The 19893-nt window shown below is 45.2% G+C and overlaps 2 protein-coding genes across 13 annotated transcripts in view, besides 4 other annotated features; one reads left to right on the top strand and one right to left on the bottom strand.

The window, feature by feature from the left end:
* The window catches only part of C2orf49 (chromosome 2 open reading frame 49), a 48360-nt gene extending 46480 nt beyond the window's left edge, over positions 1-1880 (top strand). For both annotated transcript variants that reach the window (XR_007081585.1, XR_007081586.1), the window contains one exon: positions 92-1880. The gene's annotated coding sequence lies outside the window, so the exon portion shown is untranslated. The remainder of the gene's footprint in view (positions 1-91) is intronic.
* The window catches only part of FHL2 (four and a half LIM domains 2), an 80818-nt gene that overhangs the window by 26308 nt on the left and 34617 nt on the right, over positions 1-19893 (bottom strand). For 2 of the 11 annotated variants that reach the window (NM_001039492.3, NM_001318899.2), the window contains exons 1-3: positions 14951-15032; positions 12628-12678; positions 2342-2521 (exon numbers count right to left, since the gene is read on the bottom strand). In NM_001039492.3, coding sequence (NP_001034581.1) covers positions 2342-2497 — 156 coding nt within the window. In that variant the 5' untranslated portion in view covers positions 2498-2521; positions 12628-12678; positions 14951-15032. Of the gene's footprint in view, positions 1-2341; positions 2522-6087; positions 6209-12627; positions 12679-14822; positions 15033-15202; positions 15649-19893 lie in introns of those variants that run through there. The other 9 variants (NM_001318898.2, NM_001318895.3, NM_001318897.2 and 6 more) reach the window with 7 other exon arrangements.
* Positions 14766-14985: a silencer, noted in NCBI's record as "silent region_11838". NCBI's record gives its function as "represses an Ori minimal core promoter by ATAC-STARR-seq in GM12878 lymphoblastoid cells {active_cell/tissue: GM12878}" and the evidence as "EXISTENCE:reporter gene assay evidence [ECO:0000049][PMID:35858748]".
* Positions 14766-15635: a biological region, named in NCBI's record as "H3K27ac hESC enhancer GRCh37_chr2:106015289-106016111".
* Positions 14813-15635: an enhancer, noted in NCBI's record as "H3K27ac hESC enhancer chr2:106015289-106016111 (GRCh37/hg19 assembly coordinates)". NCBI's record gives its function as "activates a minimal SCP1, AML or CMV promoter by ChIP-STARR-seq in naive H9 embryonic stem cells {active_cell/tissue: H9 hESC(naive)}" and the evidence as "EXISTENCE:reporter gene assay evidence [ECO:0000049][PMID:30033119]".
* Positions 15006-15135: a silencer, noted in NCBI's record as "silent region_11839". NCBI's record gives its function as "represses an Ori minimal core promoter by ATAC-STARR-seq in GM12878 lymphoblastoid cells {active_cell/tissue: GM12878}" and the evidence as "EXISTENCE:reporter gene assay evidence [ECO:0000049][PMID:35858748]".

Consider the following 19893-nt stretch of genomic DNA (forward strand, 5'->3'; position numbering starts at 1 on the left):
AAACATGCGTGGAAGGATGACGGCTTTTAAGGGTCTTTCCACTAAATCACTGGAGAAACAGCAAGTGATTTTTGTTTTGTTTTTATTTCAGCCACTGGTCAGGGATGATTAGCCCCAAATATCCAAAATCTGTCCTTGAAAGTGAGACTTACCTTTTGCCAGATGATATCTGAACCTCTCACCTACGTAAGTATTTCTTTTCCAGCTAAAGCTTTTATAATTATATTTTTCTCGGGCTATCTACTTCTTCCTCAAACTGGACATTTTTATTGATGTTTCCAAAATGAAAAGCGACAAAGAGAGAGGGTGAAGCTTCTGAAAGGTGTGTGGAAGGGACGTGTCACGAAAAGAATAAGGAAGTAGTCAGCAGAAAGGTGGCAGTCTGGAGCTTACCCTGTCAGCTGCTAGAAGAGTACGAGTGCGAGTGCAAGGGCTTGTATCTACATACTAGAAAGACCCTATGAAGCAGACCCCTGGTTCTCCCCAGTTTTTTTTGGGTCTTTTTTGAGACAGAGTCTTACTCTGTGTCCCAGGCTGGAGTGCAGTGGCATGATCTCGGCTCACTGTAACTTCTGCCTCCCAGGTTCAAGTGATTCTCGTGCCTCAGCCTCTCAAGTAGCTGGGATTACAGATATGCACCACCACGCCCAGCTAATTTTTGTATTTTCAGTAGACACAGGGTTTCGCCATGTTGGCCAGGCTGGTCTCGAACTCCCGGCCTCAATTGATTCACCCGCCTTGGCCTCCCAAAGTGCTGGGATTATAGGCTTTGAGCCTATGCCCCTGGCCTGGTTCTCCCCATTTTATAGATGTGGAGATGTGCACGGAAGGGTCAAGTAACTGACCCAAGGCCACACAGCAAGTGAGACACAGAGCCTGGGCTGGAACTGGGCAGTCTGGTGGCTGAGCTCTCATGCTTGTCCTGTTAAATACATGAAAAGGGACAGAGAAAAGTCGTCAGGTGCAGTGAGACACGCAGCAGGCAAGACAGGATACAGGAAGATACACAACTTTTAGAGTAGCCAGATCAGCTATTTTTGCTTATGGTATTTCAAAGGTTTGGCACAATACCACTGTTGAGTTTCGTTTCTTTTACATTCAGCACAGCATCTGCCCTGAAGCCAAAAGACACAGGGCTGCAGCATTGGTTTAGGGGGCTGGTGCTGTACCTCTTTCGTCTCTGCTCAAGGCAGAGGTCTCTTTCGCTACAAGATGGAAACCATCCCTCAACTGTCACTAAATCCCTGGGAACAGAAAGTGATGGTGCAGCCTTCTGATTCCTGTCTTTCCTAAGAATGATGTGATCAGAGAAGGAAATAGAAGGAACACATGTTGGATGTGCTAGAATGATCCAACTGCATGCATGGCCTAAGTCAATCAGTCAGCGGCAATGTGCTGATATTAACGACCAGGGAGGAGAGCAGCAAAAATCCCTACAGAGCACAAAGCAACGAGAGCAGAAAAGAGATAGTAAAATGCCATGAACTGACTTGGTGCCCATTCAGTTGGGAATTCCTTTAGAGATGCCAAAGGAATCCCATTTTGTAGCCAGTTTCACGGCACTCAGGATGACAGCCACATGAGGGGTTTCACTGGAGTGTTTTAGAAGCCGTTTGCGGGTGAAGGTATCAGAGAGTTCAGAGCTATGGATGGGTCCCCCAGGGTGTCCTTCAGCAATCCAGGTTGGAACAAGAGTCTGCTGAGAAGCGCAGGTCAGGGTTCACCACCCTCAACCACGGGGCAGTTGGTACAAGTGACCAGTGGTCTTTGCTGAACCACGCTGTGACATACCAGGAGAGCCATGAACACATTTCCCCATTGAAAGGAAACAATACAAATCCTGTCCTTCTCTCATTAAAGGAAAAGAGCTCACAATCTTCCAAGGACTTTGTGCTTTTATGTGCCCATTTATCCAGGAACCAACTCTGGTTCTCTCATGTACACATTCATTCATCAAATATTGACTGAGCACAGCACCTGCTCCACGTTACTCACCACGGGGCAAACAGACAAGAGGAAGAGAGCACCACCCTTAAGAAAGTTCCAGTATTGGTAGGCAGCTGGGTAGTTAGATAAGGGCACTAATTGCTAGAATACAGAAAATGTACTTAGAGATACTAAGCACAAAAGTCCTGGCAAGGCCCTCACCCAGTGCTTGTGGGCAGAGATCACATTCGCTAGAGGGAAGAAGCTTCCGAAAGGCTACACGCAGGGTCCACGCCCCTCAGAGGGGGCTCAAGAGACAGACTTCAGTGGTGGATCAGGGCTTCAGCACAAACCACAGAGAAACCCGTGTTTCCTAGGGGAGCGCCGGGGACCCGCAGAGGCCCGCAGCAGGTACCTTGCAGTCACAGCCGATGGGCTTCCCACACTCCTCGCAGGTGTTGGCGAACAGGGTCTCAAAGCACACCACGCAGTAGGGGCTCTCCTCCCGCAGGATGTACTTCTTGCCAAAGAGAGATTCGTTGCAATGGTGGCAGTCAAAGCGCTCAGTCATTTTGACTCCTGGCTTTTCAGCAACCTATCAAAAAGAAAAGAAAATCCAAGTCCCATTAAGCACTCTCTGAAAGGGGTGCACGCAAAGGCATTAACTGTCCCACTGTCTGTCATCTTTAGCCGAAAGGTGGCTAATTCCTCTGGATGAATAATTAAAACTCACCCTTTAATCGGTCATAATTTTTAATGATAACACCTTTTTTCATTAGCTAGGGCGGTTTTGTGTTTGAATGCATTCCACTTTTTTTTTTTTTTTTTTTTTTTTTGGAGACAGAGTCTTGTTCTTTTGCCCAGGCTGGAGTGCAGTGGTGCGATCTCGGCTCACTGCAACCTCCGCCTCCCAGGTTCAAGTGATTCTCCTGCCTCAGCCTCCCAAGTAGCTGAGATTACAGGCACCTGCCACCACACCCAGCTAACTTTTATATTTTTAGTAGAGACAGGGTTTTACCATGTTGGCTAGGCTGGTCTCAAACTCCTGACCTCGGGTGATCTGCCCACCTCAGCCTCCCAAACTGCTGAGATTACAGGCGTGAGCCATCACGCCTGGTCACATTCCACTTCTTGAAAAGCACAAATTATTTTTTACTGTGTCAGAAAAAGCTATCTCAGTTTTAAATGCAGGTAAGGGCTGACACCAGAGCCCCCATCCTGTCCGGCTGTGACCCGGCCTTGCATCTTCCCCTTCTCCCTGCCTCCAAAATAGAAAGGCAGGCATAGAAATAATACGTCCATTTCTATAAAAAGATTTTCCGTGAGCTCCTCTTTATGATTCATGATTTGAATAGGAAGAAATCACAGTGGCAAAAGGGAGGGAGATCTGACCTGGGAAACCTGAGATTAGATGCAATGAGGGCACTAATACCCTTGACCTGGGAGTGCAAGCTGCCCTTGCACAAGAAAAACTGCCAAAGTCCCTGAGGATGAATCATTGCTCCCTGCGGGTAAGATCATCCTGCAGCTGCCCAGGTACCCTGAGAGCAGGATAAATGGAAAGACTCACTTCCCAAAACAATGATATCAAATAGTCAGAAATGCAGTGGCTGCAGTCAGTGGCTCTCTGGGCAACACCTCAAGCCCTTCCAACAGGAACAGGACACTGGCGAGGTTGCAGAGAAAAGGGAACATTTATACACTGTGGGTGGGAGTGTAAATTAGTTCAACCCTTGTGGAAAGCAGTATGGTGATTCCTCCAAGAGCTAAAAACAGAACTACCATTTGACCCAGCAATCCCATTACTGGGAATACACCCAGAGGAATACAAATCATTCTACCATAAAGACACATGTACATGAATGTTCATTGCAGCACTCTTCACAATACCGACAACATGGAATCAACCTAAATGCCCAGCGATGACAGATTGGATAAAGAAAATGTGGTACATATACATCATGAAATACTATGCAGCCACAAAAAAGAATGAGATCATGTCTTTTGCAGGAACACGGATGGAGCTGGAGGCCATTATCCTTAGCAAACTAATGCAGGAACAGAAAGCCAAATACTGCATGTTCTCACTTGTAAGTGAGGGCTAAATGAGGGAACACATGAACACAAAGAGGTAAACAACAGACGCTGGGGTCTACTTGAGCGGGGAGGGAGGATGGCAGGAGAGAGAGGAGCAGAAAACATAACACTTGGGTACTAGGCTTAATACCTGGGTGATGAAATAATATGTACAACAAACCCCTGTGACAAGAGTTTACCTGTATAACAAACCTGCACATGTACCCCGAACCTAAAATAAAAGTTTAAAATAAGGGGTCTCCATGCCCGGCACACTGCATTTTTCTAGGATGAATACGCAGTGTGAATAAGCAGCAAGTGATGGGCCCTCCTCTTATGACCATTCCTATAAAATCATGTTAGAATGATCCTGGAGAGAAAAAGCCTACCACAGGAATAGCTGGTGTGGAGAAACGGCCATAGGGCATTAAAAACACAGACAATTTTCTTCAGGAATAAATGGCAATATTCCATTTGCTAAAAGTGGAAAGTTTTCTCTGTTCTTAAATAGGTACACTGGGCTGGGTGCAGTCACTCACGCCTGTAATCCCAGCACTTTGGGAGGCCGAGACAGGTGGATCACCTGAGGTTGGGAGCTTGAGACCAGTCTGGCCAACATGGTGAAACCCTGTCTCTACTAAAAATACAAAAAAAAAAAAAAAATTAGCCGGGCTTACTGGCACATGCCTGTAATCCCAGCTACTCAGGACGCTAAGGCAGGAGAATCATTTGAACCCAGGAAGTGGAGGTTGCAGTGAGCTGAGATGATACCACTGCACCCCAGCCTGGGCAACAGAGCGAGACTCCGTCTCAAAAAAAAAAAATAGGTACACTGGTTGGCTATGTAACTCTGAGCAAGAGTTCACAGGATCTAAGAAAACTTGGTTCAATTTGCAGTCTTCAAAAGATAGGCGAGTGAAATGCCAGAATCAGACCTTCTGATGCAAATAAAATATTGCCGCCTGGTTTGTGATTACAGTAATTTTGTACTATTGCGTATACACGATCCTGACAACTGTAAGCAAGGAAAAGATCATCTTTCAAGAATTCATTCTTGGATATTTCTGTGTTTACAGAATAATTCTCTTCCAAGAGCAATAAATATGCAGCTGGACACATGCGGCAAGATCCGTCCTTCTAAATCACTCTTCCTGGAGTTAAAGAAAACATTGTCTGGACATTCTTGTGATAACATCACAAGATGAGGCTCTTGAGCACTTGAATTATTATTCTGAAGCCCAACGTATAAATATCCTTTGTACCGCAGCCATCTCGAGTTGGAGCAGCCATGCTGGCACAAGATTCAATGCTTTCCTGTAATTGTTCAGTTATTGGCCTTGAAAGTTGCTGTCATTTATTTCATCACAATTGAGAGCTGTTTTTCCAACATATATGTTTTTCCAATAAAGGGTGTGATTTAGCTGTGGGACAAGAGGCTCACTGCCCATTCCATGCCCACAAACATAAGAATAATAATTTGGGAATTTGAAATAAGAACGATGAAAGGACAGAGAACTATAAATTGCGGAATTGTAAAAGCTGGAAACAAATCCCCAGATTATCTATGACAACTTCCTCATTCTATGGATGGAAAAACTGAAGCCCACGCATATTTATGAAAAAGAGGGTCCACTGAGCTTTCTCAAATAGCCGTCTGACTTACAGAAAATGAACTCCCAGTCTAACTTGAAAGGCCGTCTGTGTGGGTCAGGACAAGCACCAGCCCTGCTAGGGAAGGGAGACAGTCTACAGCCTCTGTTAATGTCTGCAGAGCTCCATTTATGTTGGCAGCTGGTGAAAGGGGTACACCTGTTTTCCTCTGAGGTAATAATCGTGATCACGGTGCTCATATACCTGATATGTGTTTTCCACTTCCTCTGATTCTACAGGACCAGGACAGAAAAAAACAAAAACAAAAAAAATCTGGCCAGGTGCGGTGGCTCACGCCTGTAATCCCAGCACTTTGGGAGGCTGAGGCGGGTGAAACACGAGGTCAGGAGATTGAGACCATCCTGGCTAACACGGTGAAACCCCATCTCTACTAAAAATACAAAAAAAAAATTATCCGGGTGTGGTGGCGGGCACCTGTAGTCCCAGCTACTTGGGAGGCTGGGGCAGGAGAATGGCGTGAACCAAGAGGTAGAGCTTGCAGTGAGCTGAGATCGTGCCACTGCACTCCAGCCTGGGCGACAAAGCGAGACTCCGTCTAAAAAAATAAAAAAATAAATCTAAGAGAATAAACTCTGAAAATAAGTAGGGCTCCACATTTGCTCAAAGTACGACTGAGGTTATGAATGTCATCATGGTGAATGTCATCATCAGTGATATGATGAATATCATTATCAGTGATACCAGCTCCCAGCAGGAACAGTAGCAGCTGCTATCTGCTCAGTGGGTCCACCTGGGAGGAGGCACTTGGCCCTGTGGTTCAGCTCCTAATTCTACAGAATTCTTTCTGAGAGTGGTGGATCCCTCTTCTACCTTGTTCCTCATCTTCTAAGAGGACACTAGAGTTCTACAAAGAGCAGAGAGCATTTCTACTCCAACCAACAGGGCAGAGCATAAAATGAGCAACTGCTGCTACCTAGGAGCACAGCAGGATGCACTGTGTGAAAGCAGGCCCCTGAAGGAGTTCCACACAGTTACATACTGCACAAGCCCTGAGCATCAGAATAAAAAGTCCATGAGCTAATAAGCAAGCTCAGAGCTTCCCTTCTATTACAACATGTTTAAAAGTATACCTATTGTCCTGTATTAGAAATCTCCTATAACTTGCATTTTTTTTTTTTTTTTGAGACAGAGTCTTGCTGTGTCACCCAGGCTGGAGTGCAGTGGCATGATCTCAGCTCACTGCAGCCTCCACCTCCCGGGTTTCAGTGATTCTCCTGCCTCAGCCTCCTGGGTTGCTGGGATTACGGGCACACGCCACCACACTCAGCTAATTTGTGTGTGTGTGTATGTGTGTGTGTGTATGTGTATTTTTTTTTTTTTAGTAGAGACGGAGTTTCACCATGTTGGCCAGACTGGTCTCAAACTCCTGACCTCAGGTGATCCGCCTGCCTTGGCCTCCTAAAGTGCTAGGATTACAGTCATGAGCCACTTGCATTTTTTACATCCCATAAATACCTGATTGCTCATTCATTCACTGAATAAACATTGGTTGAGCTGGAACTATGTGTCTAAAGTCATGAAAAGTGCAGAAGATACAAAGATGAATAAAATGCAGGCCCCTCCCCTCAAGGGACTTGTTATCTAGTGAGGAAAAGAGATATATACCAAACAGACTACCAAGCCCCTTACTCAGTGCGTGCTGGAGGTGCACAGGTATGATGGGCACGCAGAGGAGGAGCCCCTGAGAGAGCAGGCAGGCATCCCAGAGGAGATGCTATCTGTGCTAGGAACAGGTCAGCCAGGTGATATGGCAGGTCAGGTCAAGGGGTGGAGTAGGCAAAGCCAGAGACATGAGAGACAGAGTAGGGTAGGCAGAGAGCCCAGGAAGATGGAAGACCCAGTCAACAGCCAAGGCAATGAGGGCCTGGATGCCTTGTTCATGGACTTGGGTATGCCTCGCAGGCAGTGGAGAAACGGACAGCCCAGTGAAAGTTTACTGCATGGAAGCCTGCCTTTACTATGCAAGACAGGGGGCAATGACTCCTAAAAAATGTATCAGGGTATCAGAGCCCATTTCTGAATGATTTCTTCAAATAAAAGTAGGACATCTTGGTTCTACAAGGACTTATTAACCTAATTGTGTACAATCCATTTACTCTCTGTGAACTCCACATCCCTCCTGACAGGTTATCAATAATTCCTGCTCCTTAGCTGGTACACAGGAATGCTGAAAGCATCAGGCAACAGCCTGCAGGGAGATGCCCAAACATAAGGCGCAACCCCTCCTTTTTATTTCACTGAATCAAATTCCAAATCACAGTTTCCTGGAGTTCTTATTCCTCACCAAGCTAAATCATTCCATGATGTCATTACCCCTTCGGCCCTGAATAGGGTATTTGAAAAAGCTGGATCTTAGGGTACAGGCTTGACTCCAGGCCAAGGGAACTGCAATGGGTGAGGCAGGTGCCAGGTGCAGCTCGGAGGTCTGGGGATGGCCCAGGGAAGGCTTTGATCTCTGAGTCTCTCGCTAGCCCAGCTTTGACTCAGATGTAAGAATAGGTCGGGTACAGAGGCTCATGCCTGTAGTCCCAGTACTTTGGGAGACCGAGGCAGACATATCGTTTGAGCCCTGTAGTTCAAGACCAGCCTGGGCAACATGGAGAAACCCCATCTCTACAAAAAACACAAAAAATTTGCCGGGTGTGGTGGCATGCATTTGTAGTCCCTACTACTCAGGAGGCTGAGGTGGGAGGATCTTGAGCCCAGGAGGTCGAGGCTGCAGTGAGCCATGATAGCATCACTGCTCTCCAGCCTCAAGGAAACAGCCTCATGGTGACACAGACCATGTCTCCAAAGAAAAAAAAGAAAAAGAAATAAAAAGGATGTAAGAATAAAGGTTCAGAGGGCCAGGGAGCAACAATGCACTCTACTACTCACAATTCATACTAATTTTAAAAGTTCACAAGCTCATCAGTGTGATCTATTTTTAAATTTTCAGATTCAAAAACTGTAAAACAAAGTATGAGTGGGGAAAGTATCAAAGCTGGAGGAAAATAAAGGGAAAAGGAAACAGAAAGAGTAAAGAGAAGGGGAGAAGGGTGGTGACAGGACAAAAAAAGGAAGGAGGAGGGTAAATGAAATGAGGCAGAAGAGAGGCAAGGACCCTGCATGCCAGGAAGCTTTTTTTTTTTTTTTTTTTTTTTTCTTGAGACAGTGTCACTCTATCACCCAGGCTGGAGTGCACTGGCCCTATCTTGGCTCACTTCAGCCTCCACATCCTAGGTTCAAGCAATTCTCCTGTCTCAGCCTCCCAAGTAGCTGGTATTACAGGCGTGCATCACCGCACCCAGCTAATTTTTTTTTTTTTTTTAACCAGAAAGATTTCGATCAAAGGAGGGGCTGCCATGACAGACAGCCTCCCTTGGCTTGCTGGCTCAGGCCTTGGAGTTCCAGGAGCCTGGCAGATCCCTACAGGTAAAGCCTGAAGAGGTCAGATTAGCAAAAGAAGTCTATTTAAGCATCCTTTTCAATGCACCTTTTATTGACTACCTACTTTGATCTGACCCCAATGGGCCCATTTTCTCCTCCCCCTTTGAAACCCCAAGTGCTTCTCCCTATCAACCCTGCTGCAGGAGGCTCCTCTAACATAGCCATTTCCTAAGGAGAAATCTGTGAACGTCCCCAAGCCCTTCCTGCATGCAGCCCTTCAACACATGCAAAAGCAGCTTCGGTAAGTCAGTCCCTGTATCTTTAGATGTCACCGGGGATCCGCAAGGGATATTCAATTACTTATCAATAATCAACCAGAGCTTTCCAGAGACAATTAGGAAAACTGGTCTATGTGGGCTCTTTTAAAAAATACATTATAAAAGTGCAGTGTTTTCATGCAATTGCCCCGTCTTCTACCAACCGTAAGCATTGGGAAGGGTGCCCACTACCTGTCGCTGAGACCTCACCAGCAGGGAACACACACAGGACCAGGGGCTTTGTGAATACTTGTGGAATGGATGAACAAATGAATTGACGGGTGGATGAATACAAACATGTCAGAGTACAAACATACAGGCAAAAATCAAGCATGAAAAATTAGAAACATATTATGTGAACAATCCACTCTGCATAGCAAACCCAACATGTAATGTGGTTTGGCATATGACATCATGAGCTTCCATCGCTGCCCTCGTCCCTCCTTCCAGATAAGCTGCTGCTTCCGCAGCGGATATAACTCTTCTTATTGTGTTTGGACTCCAATCCCATGTGAACACACAGCTGCACAGTCCAGGATGCAGCCTGGCCAGGTCAAGAAGCAAAAAGCCAGCTGGGAGTCGTGCCCACTTTGGGAAGAACGCACAGATCCCCAACACGGGCTCCAGGTGTCAGCAGAAGGCCCTGATGTTCTACAGACATGTGATGCCTATAATCAAAGATCCTCCATTCAAAGGCACGGGACTCTCACACCTGGAAATGTGCTCAGAGAATACCCCGCACCATTTTATTTTCCTACGGATGGGAGTATCTACACACAAAAACCGCTCACCCCCAACACTCTTCATTTGTCTAGCTAAACGGGTTGTTTTAAACAGAAATTCTGATAAAACGGAGAGGGCCATCATGTCAAGGAAAGTTGCTGTTTTATAAACTAGAATAATGGATCAAGCCTTGGAGTCCCTAAAGAGAGAGGATCTCTTGAGCCCAAGAGTTCGAGGCTGCAGTGAGCTGTAGTGCTGCCACTATACTCCAGCCTGGACCACAGTGTAAGACCCGGTCTCTAAAAAAAAAAAAAAATTTATATCAGTTGGATATGGTGATGTGTGCCTACAGTCCTAGCTACCTGGGAGACTGAGGCAGGAGGACTGCTTGAGCCCAGGGGTTTGAGGCTTTAGTGAGCTATGATGGCACCTGTGAAAAGCTACTGCACTCCAGCCTGAGCAACAGAATGAGACCCTGGGAAAAAAAAAAGAAAAGAAGGAAAGAAAGAAAGAAAGAGAAAAAAGAAAGAAAGAAAAAAAGTATCTAGCATCCACTTGAAATCTATTTTTAAATTGTTGGATTTTAAACAATCTTAGTTTGTAAGGTATAAAATTGACTATGCTTACCACTGTATAATATATTTACAGATTAATTTAATAAGCCTTTACTAAATGCATGTACAGACAGGTGTCAGAGGTGTATTATAGTTTACATAAACTGGTAACTTCCAACTTAAAAAAAATAAATAAACATCTTCATCTCTGGTGGTTCTGCATGAGGCAATGTTTGAATAAGGTAAACTGCTGTCTTCTGAATTATCTTTTGAATATTGAATACTAAAAATAAAGGGAAAACAATAAATATCAAATTTCTGATCTGAAGTCCATGACTACAAGAGGAGTTACACTTGTTTTGATGTCGTTCAGCCTTTTGAACCCAGCCGACAAGAATGTGTTGAGTAACCACTGTTTTCCATGTGCTACGTGAGGCACTGGGAAGCTGAGATAAAACACACAGTCTATGAAGGAGTTCCAGTCTAGTTCTAGCTCCAAATAATTTAAATCACCTTTAAGATCCCATCTTGTCATTTAATCTCAAAACACATCAATTGCAGCCATGCAGGACAACCATAGCTGCACACGCTAGAATGGCGGGTGGCCTCGGGTCCGTCAATCACACCAGTGTGGGGACCAAGGGAGACTCCATCCTGCATGCTATGGCTCTACCATGCCTTCCCTGAGTGAGTTACGAACACTTCTACACCTACAAAACGAAAACCACCCACTCTTCTTCATGGCAGGGGTCTCCTCTCACCTCCCAAGTGCGGCTCACTGTTCACTCTCCCAGCTATCTGAGGTGCCTATGACCCCCACCCCCATGCTGGCCTTTCTCTTGGCATCCAGCAGCTTCCATGAATGACTGGCCACCTCCTTCTCACTGCAGTCCTGCCACTCTGTGGGGTTTCTCTGGCGCACTGCAACAGGACTCTGTCCCGAGAGGCTTGCACAGTTCCTTCTGCTTCCTTCATTGACTGCCTGCTTCTTAGTGACTCCAAAAGTTGTATTAACCCAAGCAGACAGGTCTATTTCCTTGTTGACTGACAAGCTCCATATTTACATACTGCAAGGACATTCTGGCATTAATTCTGTTCACCCATGAAAACAGGGCAGCTGCTTCTGCCACAGACATCCCACATCTCACTCAAGACCATATGACGGGAGGATCTTGAAGCCGCAGACAGAATCAGGCTAGTAAAGGCGTGGGCCACCGAAGGCTGAGGATGAGTGTGAAGTCTAAGTTCACACCAGGCAAGACACCACCCACGAGCACTGGGATGGACCTGGGAGACCAGACGCTGCTCCAGACCCCTCGTGACATCCCCATGCAGAGAGCATGTTTTACAGCAAGAGGAAAGCCAAGACTCCCAGGAGCAAAGTAGTGATCAAATCTTAAAAAAAGGGAGAATGACAGTTGGTGGGGAGACTTTTTAAATAGATGTTACCAGAGAGCTGTAATAGTCAGGGTTTTCTAGAAAAATAGAACCAACAAGAGATGTACATAGAGAGATTTATCGCAATGATTTAGCTCACACAATTACGAAGGTGAAAAAGTCCCAAGACCTGCAGTCAGTAGGCTGGAGACCCAGGAGAGCCGATGGTGCAAATTGCAGTCTGAAAAGAGGAGACTCTATAGACCCAAGAAGAGCCGATGTTTCAGTGTGAGTCCAAAGGCGGAAAGGACCAATGTCCCAGCTCAAGCAGTCCGGCAGGGGGGCTTCCCTCTTACTCAGTTTTTTTGTTCTATTCAGGCCTTCAACTGTTTGGACAAGGCCCACTCACATTATGGAGAGCAGCCTGCTTTACTCAGTCTACCCATTCATATGTCAATCTCATCCAAAAACACCCTCCCAGACACACCCAGAACATATGACTGAATGTTTGGGCACCGCATGGCCCAGTCAAGTTGACACATGAAAGTAACCATCACAGTAGCTAAAACTGAAATCCACAATTTAGGATAACAGAGGAAATTCACTTGACTCACCCCAAAGTCAAAATGCCAGCCTAGTCTCCAGGAAGACACAGTTCTCAGCCACTAGAGAAAGCACACGTGTTTTGTTTCAGATGGTCATCTTGAGGAAGCGAACTCAGTATAATGCAACTTGAGATGGACACTTAATAAATGTGGCTTTGATCAAATTCTCATAATAAAACCGCACAGAAGAACCCAATGTCTAATGTTTCCATTCACCCAAGCTCAAGGAACTTTGTACCTCAGGGCATCTGAGTCAGAGAGCCGCTTAGCGACTCAGGCCCGGTGCTGACAAAGGAGGCTGCCTGAGTCACTGAGGCTGAGTAACTGGCCCTCGGCACAGGACAGGAGTAAACTACTCCTGATATCTAGTCTGTTTTTTTTTTTTTTTTTTTTTGGCAATATTCTATTGGGCGTTTTTGACTGCAATTTAAATATCTTTCAGTACTGGAAATGGTTTAACACGCAATCTTGGGTCAAAGTATGCATCATAAGGCCTCATAGAAATATTCAAATGTTAAAAAAAATAAATAAATATTCAAATGTTCCTCCCGTGGTGCGTTTAGTGGTTAGAACTCAGGTTCTCCAGTTAAGCTGCCTGGGGTCAGATCTCAGGGCTACCATTTACAGCCCGGGAAACCCTGAGTTAAAGTTACTTTGATCTCTGTTTTCAGTGTCTTTACCTGTAAAAATGAGGCTATCAAATATGTATACACTGTCTATGATGTCCAGGCTTCTTAACAACCCTAACAAAAAGACAACATCATTGTCCCTGTTTCCCAGTGGAGAAAACCGAGACACTACGAGATTAAGTGACTTGGCCCAGGCTGCACAGGTTGAGGGACCCGGATGTAAATTTAGGCAGCCTACATGCAGTCCCCGGCATCCCCTAGCCTACTGCATCTGCCTGTGGCTATTTGTGAGACGGTGAGCTAAAATGAGACAGAACCTATGTGCCCAGAACAGTTTCTGGTCTGTAGTAAGCCCATCATTAGCCTTCATCGACATGTTATGGTGTAAACGCATTTTAAACCATGGCAGGCTAATAAACACCGTGGAAACACAATTCTGTGTATTAACTGATGATCTTCTAAACTGGGGGGTGATCTAAATCCAGTAACACTTGACAAAATTTTATATAAATGCACAATGAAATGTTCTTTGAGTTTGGTTTTATTAAAGTTTAATTGATAGACTAGGAATTCCTGTACTTCTAAGACTTGATGCAAATGGTTTTTGTTTTTTTGTTTTTTGTTTTTTTTTGTCTAAAACATCTTCAGGATAGTGCAAAACCTCTTTTCTTTAATATATTATTATAAAACACTCATTAGTAGAGTCAGCACCAAAAATGTGAGATGTATTGGGAGTTGTGTTTTGAAGACAGTTCTCCTGATTCTAAACCCAAATTGTGATTTATTACCTTCCAAAATATGTGGAAGGGAGTGCGGGCCTTAAGTTCAGTGATGTCTAAGTACACTGCTGCTTGCAAGCCAGCTACACATTTCAGCTAACCGGATTAGCCTACTTCCAGTTAAAACCCGACTGAGGATATGAAAATAAATATGACTGATTCATTTAAAATCAGAAAAACACTCAATATTTTCTTCCCTCTATTTCTGGTATGCTAAGATATCACACGAGTGCGACTTAAGAAAAACTTAGAATCTTTTCATTTAAAATAAGCCATTTTTGTTTTAACCGAATGGTTCAGTTATTAAATGTCTACCTGAGTCAAGGAGCGAGGTCACACTGCAAACTCCACTTATTTCTACTAAAGGGAAATGGCCCGGACTCCCCCGCGCAGACCACCGTGCCAGGACAGCCCGCTCGGGAGTCGGGCCTGGAAGCAGGCGGACAGCGTCACCTCCCCGCAGCCGCCGGCTGGGACCCGCGGCCAGCCTTTACCCAGGCTCGCCCGGTCCCTGCCCGCATGGCGGTGCCCCACCTGGTGAGGACGCGGGCTGCAGTCCTCCCTCTGGGGATGAGTCGGTGGGCTCCTCTGAGCTCCAGCGCCCCCAGGGTCTAGACCCCTCCCATTGCTCCGCTCCCCTCTCCCCGTGGTCTCCCCACCCCCAACCCCCAGGGTTCGGCTCTCCTCTCCCGGGTCTACCCCACAGCTCAACTCCTTTCTCCCGGCTTCTCCCCGCACGGTTCGGGTCCCCTCTCCCAGTGGTCTTCCCGGACCCACAGCTCTGCTCTCCTCTCACCAGTCTCCCCAACTCCGGCTCTGCTCCCCTCTCCTTGGGTCTCGCACCGGATTCGGCCCCCACTTCCGAGCCCTGGTGGCTAAGCCCCTCGGCCTCCCTCCGGGGCGCAGGGGGTTGGAGGTACTCACGGCACCGCAGCGGGCCGGGGACTCCCGGACGGGGCTGGAGGGCGCGGGCGGCTGGTGGCTGCGGCTCCGCTGCCGGCCGAGTGGAGCGCTGCGCAGCTCCCGCCCTCGAGAAACCCCGCCGTGTCATTTGACCATATAAGGAGATGCACGCCTCGGCTCGCTGGCACCGGGCGTGGGGCGCGGGGGGCGGGCGCCCCCAGGCCTCGCGGTTGCCGTGCCCCCGCCCCGGGCTGCGGCGGTCCCGGCCCGTACCCTTTGTTTGCCAGGGCTCCTTTCTTCGTGCCCTCCGGGTCTTGGGAGCACAGTAGTTATCGGGAGCGTCGCCTCCGGCGTGGGCTCTCGGGCGCGAGTTTCGGACGAGGCCTGGGCGCGGTGGCAGGGGTCTGCCCACGCCGGGATCTCTGCCTGGTCCCAGGAGCGGGAGACTGGAGAAGCCCCAGGACGTGCCGGGGGAGGCGGAGGGAGGAGGGGGTCACTTCTCAGGAGGCATGTGCCTGGGATATATTTGCAAGGTGGACGTTTTTCCTTCTTACCCTGCAGATGCTTCTTTACGAAATGAACACCACAGATGACCATAAAGAATCCTTCGTTCCACTACGGAGGGGACTAAAGGAAGGTCCTATCCCCACCTCTCCCTCTCGGGGCCAGAAGACTAGTTAGACATCTTGGATTCCCCTCCAGGGCGGGAAAACCAAAGTGAGCTGGGAGCGTGCCTCCCACATTCCAAGCCCGGGCCCTCTGCGTGACGCTGACGCTGGGTAGGGACAGATGGCACTGTTCAGCATTGTCGCAGGGAGAGCACAGGTTGAGCCCATCCCTGGGAGAGGGTGCGTCGTGATGGAAACATTTGCTCCTGAGCAGGTAACCGGTCCACTTGCAGAAACCGGTGGACGATGAGTAGGTGGACCACAAAGGCGTCCTCGGCACTTTGGGGGCAGGTGTATTATTTTTAACATTCGGGGCAGCTCATAGGAATACATCCTCCAGAGAAGGCGGGAAGAACTCCGTGATTGCTTTCTTTTAATTGATACTCTCCGTCTGGTAGGCCTCATGGGTCTCCATCATGGAATCACAGAACTTGAGAATAAAGGGGCTTCATCACCTTAGCTTCCACTCGGTGAGCACTAGCTCTACCTGGTATCTCATTTGATCCACACTCCTTTAAGGTAAAGATTTTTACCAGATTTACGGTGAGGAAAGTTCAGCTCAGATTTGCTCCAGGCCACGTGAACGGTAACTGTGCCAGCTGAGATTTGAACTGGGATGTGGTAGATGGCAAAGCCATGTAAGTATATTACGGGATCAGAAATGCCTCTCATCCCTCAGTCACTCAGGTGACTCCAGAGGACTGAGACTTGCCATAAGCCCAGCCAGAACTAGATGTGCGGAATACAGCCCTCCCCCGACCCCACCCCACTGTGTCCCTGAAACAGGACGCTTTCCTGAAGAACCTGAGTTAAGGCCACCCTACCTGAATTTCCACTAAGTGTCAAGACAGGCTAGTATTTTGAAATTCAGAGCAAAGTTTGTGTAGAAAAGGCTCCCAGCCCCTGACAGCTACCTAGATGTGTTGTTGATATCGTTACAAATTAGGAAATGGTCTCCTAGTTCTCAAATGGTGAGTCTTAAGCTTCAGTTTGTAAAAACAAGCCCTAAAATGATGAAACATTAATTCTGCATTTATCTTCTTTCTGATTCCTTTTGTCTTATATTTTAATTTTTTTTTTTTTTTTAGCTTTCTGACTTACGGGTGTAATCCATTTAGCTTTGCTTTTTTACTGATAGAGTTATTTAGTTCTGTTATTTTTCTTCTAATAACTGCTTTAGCTGTGTCACATAGGTTCAGCTATGTTGTGTTTTATTATTAAGAAATTCTGCAATTTAATTTTGTGTTTAATTTTTGACCTAATGGGTAGCAGAACATTTTAAATGACCCTGTGGTCATTCGATAGGGTCAGTAAAATCCGGACTCTGGAAACAAACATACCCAGTTTCTACAACAACGATGCACAAAGAAAAACAAGAGAGATGGAGACAGAACCAAGAGATTAAAAAAAGACTTAGCCAACTGCCATGTATGGATCTTATTGGATTCTTTTTTTTTTTTTTTTTTGGATCTTATTGGATTCTAATCAAAGAATAAACTAGTAGAAAATCAATTTTTATGAGACAACCTTGGAAAATATGACACTGACAGGATATTTTCTAGTATTAATGAACAATTTATGTTAGGGGTGATAATGTGATTACACACACACATATATTTTTCTTTTCTTAAGTCCTTGCTTTTCAAGAACAGTGCCAAAATATTTCCTAGTGAAATAACATTATGCCTGGAGTTGTTTCAAAATAATTTGGGGTGGGGAAATGGATAGGGCCTATATATATACGAAATACTATCAGCCATGGATTGTGGATAATCGCTGAAGCTTGATGATGGATATGCAGCAGTTCATCTTACTAGTCTGTCTCCTTTTGTAATGCTTGAAAAATTCCATAATGAAAACATTTTTAAATTACAGATGAACATACCATTTTCTCTTTACCCAGCATTTCCCTTTATAGGAAATTATCTTGTAGATATACTTGCTCCTGTGTAAAACGATAGACACACAAGAGTAGTCATTGTAGAATTGTTTGTAATAGAAAAATACTGGGCCATGTTATGTGTTCGTCAACAAGGGCTTAGTTAAATACAGTATGGTGCATTTTAGAATTATTTACATATGCGGCTGTTAAAATGAACGAGGTAACTATATTTACTGATTTGGCATGATCTCCAAGATAAATCAACTGAGAAAAATAAAAGTAGAGAACACTTTGTAGGTAGAAACCAACCATTTGTGTTCATGAGCAAAGAAAGGACGGGGGAAGACAATGTATATTTATAAGCGGTTGCTTCTGGGGAGATCTGAGTGGCTAGGGGTCATGGGGTGGAAAGGAGATTAATTTTTACTGTACACATTTTTATTTCTTGTAAATTTTGAGCTATGTTAATGTACTCATTCAAAAACTAAATATATATATACACGAATATATACATATATACGTATATATACACGAATATATATATACGTATATATACGTATGTATGTACATATACATGTATATATGTGTATATATACGTGTATATATACACGTATATATACATATATACATATACACATATACACACATATACACATGTATGTATATGTATATATGTATCTGTATGTATATATGTATATATATGTGTATATATGTATATATATGTGTGTATATATATATGTGTGTGTGTGTATATATATATGTATTTGAGATGGAGTCTTGCTCTGTTGCCCATGCTGGAGTACAGTGGCACTGTCTTGGCTCACTGAAACCTCTGCCTCCCAGGTGCAAGCGATTCTCCTGCCTCAGCCTCCTGAGTAGCTGGGACTACAGGCATGTGCCACCATACCCGGCTAATTTTTTATAATTTTAGTAGACACGAGGTTTCATCATGTTAGCCAGGATGGTCTTGATCTCCTGATCTTGTGATCCACCCACTTGGCCTCCCAAAGTGCTGAAATTACAGGCGTGGGCGACCATGCCTGGCCCAAAAACTAAATATATTTTAAAAATAAAAGCAACAGACTCCTTTAAGGAAAATAGGAAACAAATTTGTTAAACTGATATTAATAGTAAGTCAAAGGAGGATGGCAAGAAATTGAGGAGGGGAATGCAATTTCTGGGTTTAATGACATATGCTTTCATGAGCAATTCCATCGAAGGACAAAGTATTAAAAACAAATTTTCATGAGACAATCTAAGAAAATATGTTTTGAAAAGTTCCATCCATCTTGTACATCATTATATTCCTAGGACCTAATTAATTATAGAGCATGGCACATAGTATGTGCTTAATAAATATGTGTATTGAATAAGTGACAGATCACAGAATTGTTTGTGACAAGTCTTTCACTATAGAAAGCGTAATGCTGTCTATGGCAGCATAGCTTGATCTTTGAAGTCAAGCCAGGATTTGAATCTCTGTTCTATCTATGACTACTATGATCTCCAGTAACTACAAAACTTCCCTAACCCTCAGTTTGCTAGTTTGTAAAATGGGCTAATAACATATAGTCTGTGAAATTGTGGCGAAGGTCTTTTGAGATGCACATAAACCACTTAGAACTATTAACACATTACTTGGCATGAAGTAGGCCCTTTGTAAAGTCCTCTGTTTTATTCAATGGCAAAGGGGAAATTAATCCAGAATAAGAAGGAAATGGACTGAACTCCCACCAGAAGAAGAATTAAGGTTCAGATCCTGTTCAGATCCTGTTTCTTCTTGAGAGAAAACCTCTCTGCTATGGATAAAAGGCTAGTTCATGGAAGAAAATAAAAACAAAAAGTACTATTTCCTGGGGAAAGGATCAACGGTGACTGTGATCAGTTATTCAAGTTCTTCTTTTGTTTATTCCAATTATCCTGACATTCCTTCTTGAGACAACACTGCCCATAACGTTTTCCCGTCTCTCCTGTAGGTGGGCTTCAGGGAGAGGCACAGCTAGGAAGGGAGGAAAGAGAGGAAAAGACTTCCTGCGGCTAGCAGGTCTCAAAGCCTTGTCCCAGAGTGCAGCAGGATCCCCTGCAAACCTGTTAGAAGTGCACATTCTCAGGCCAGCTCCTGCTTTAACACGCCCTCCAGGTGATTCTGATGACTAAAGGTGATTTGAAGTAAAATAAATACCACTTAGGGCTTCCAACTCTGGACTCGGTAATTTACCAGAAACCTACGAAATGTCAGTTTAGGGCGTGGGGGAGGGACAGGGAAATAGAGATAGACTAAACATAGACTAGACTCAGGAACTCTAAAATCCAGTTGGAAGTATTACTTCCTCTGTCAGTTACTTCACTCAGGGAAGCAGGAGGTAGAAGTTTGAGCCAGGAGGTAGAAGTTTCAGCCAGTGGGTCTGAGCTGT

The sequence above is a fragment of the Homo sapiens genome, chromosome 2 (assembly GCF_000001405.40).
Source record: "Homo sapiens chromosome 2, GRCh38.p14 Primary Assembly".
Taxonomy (NCBI): Eukaryota; Metazoa; Chordata; class Mammalia; order Primates; family Hominidae; genus Homo; species Homo sapiens.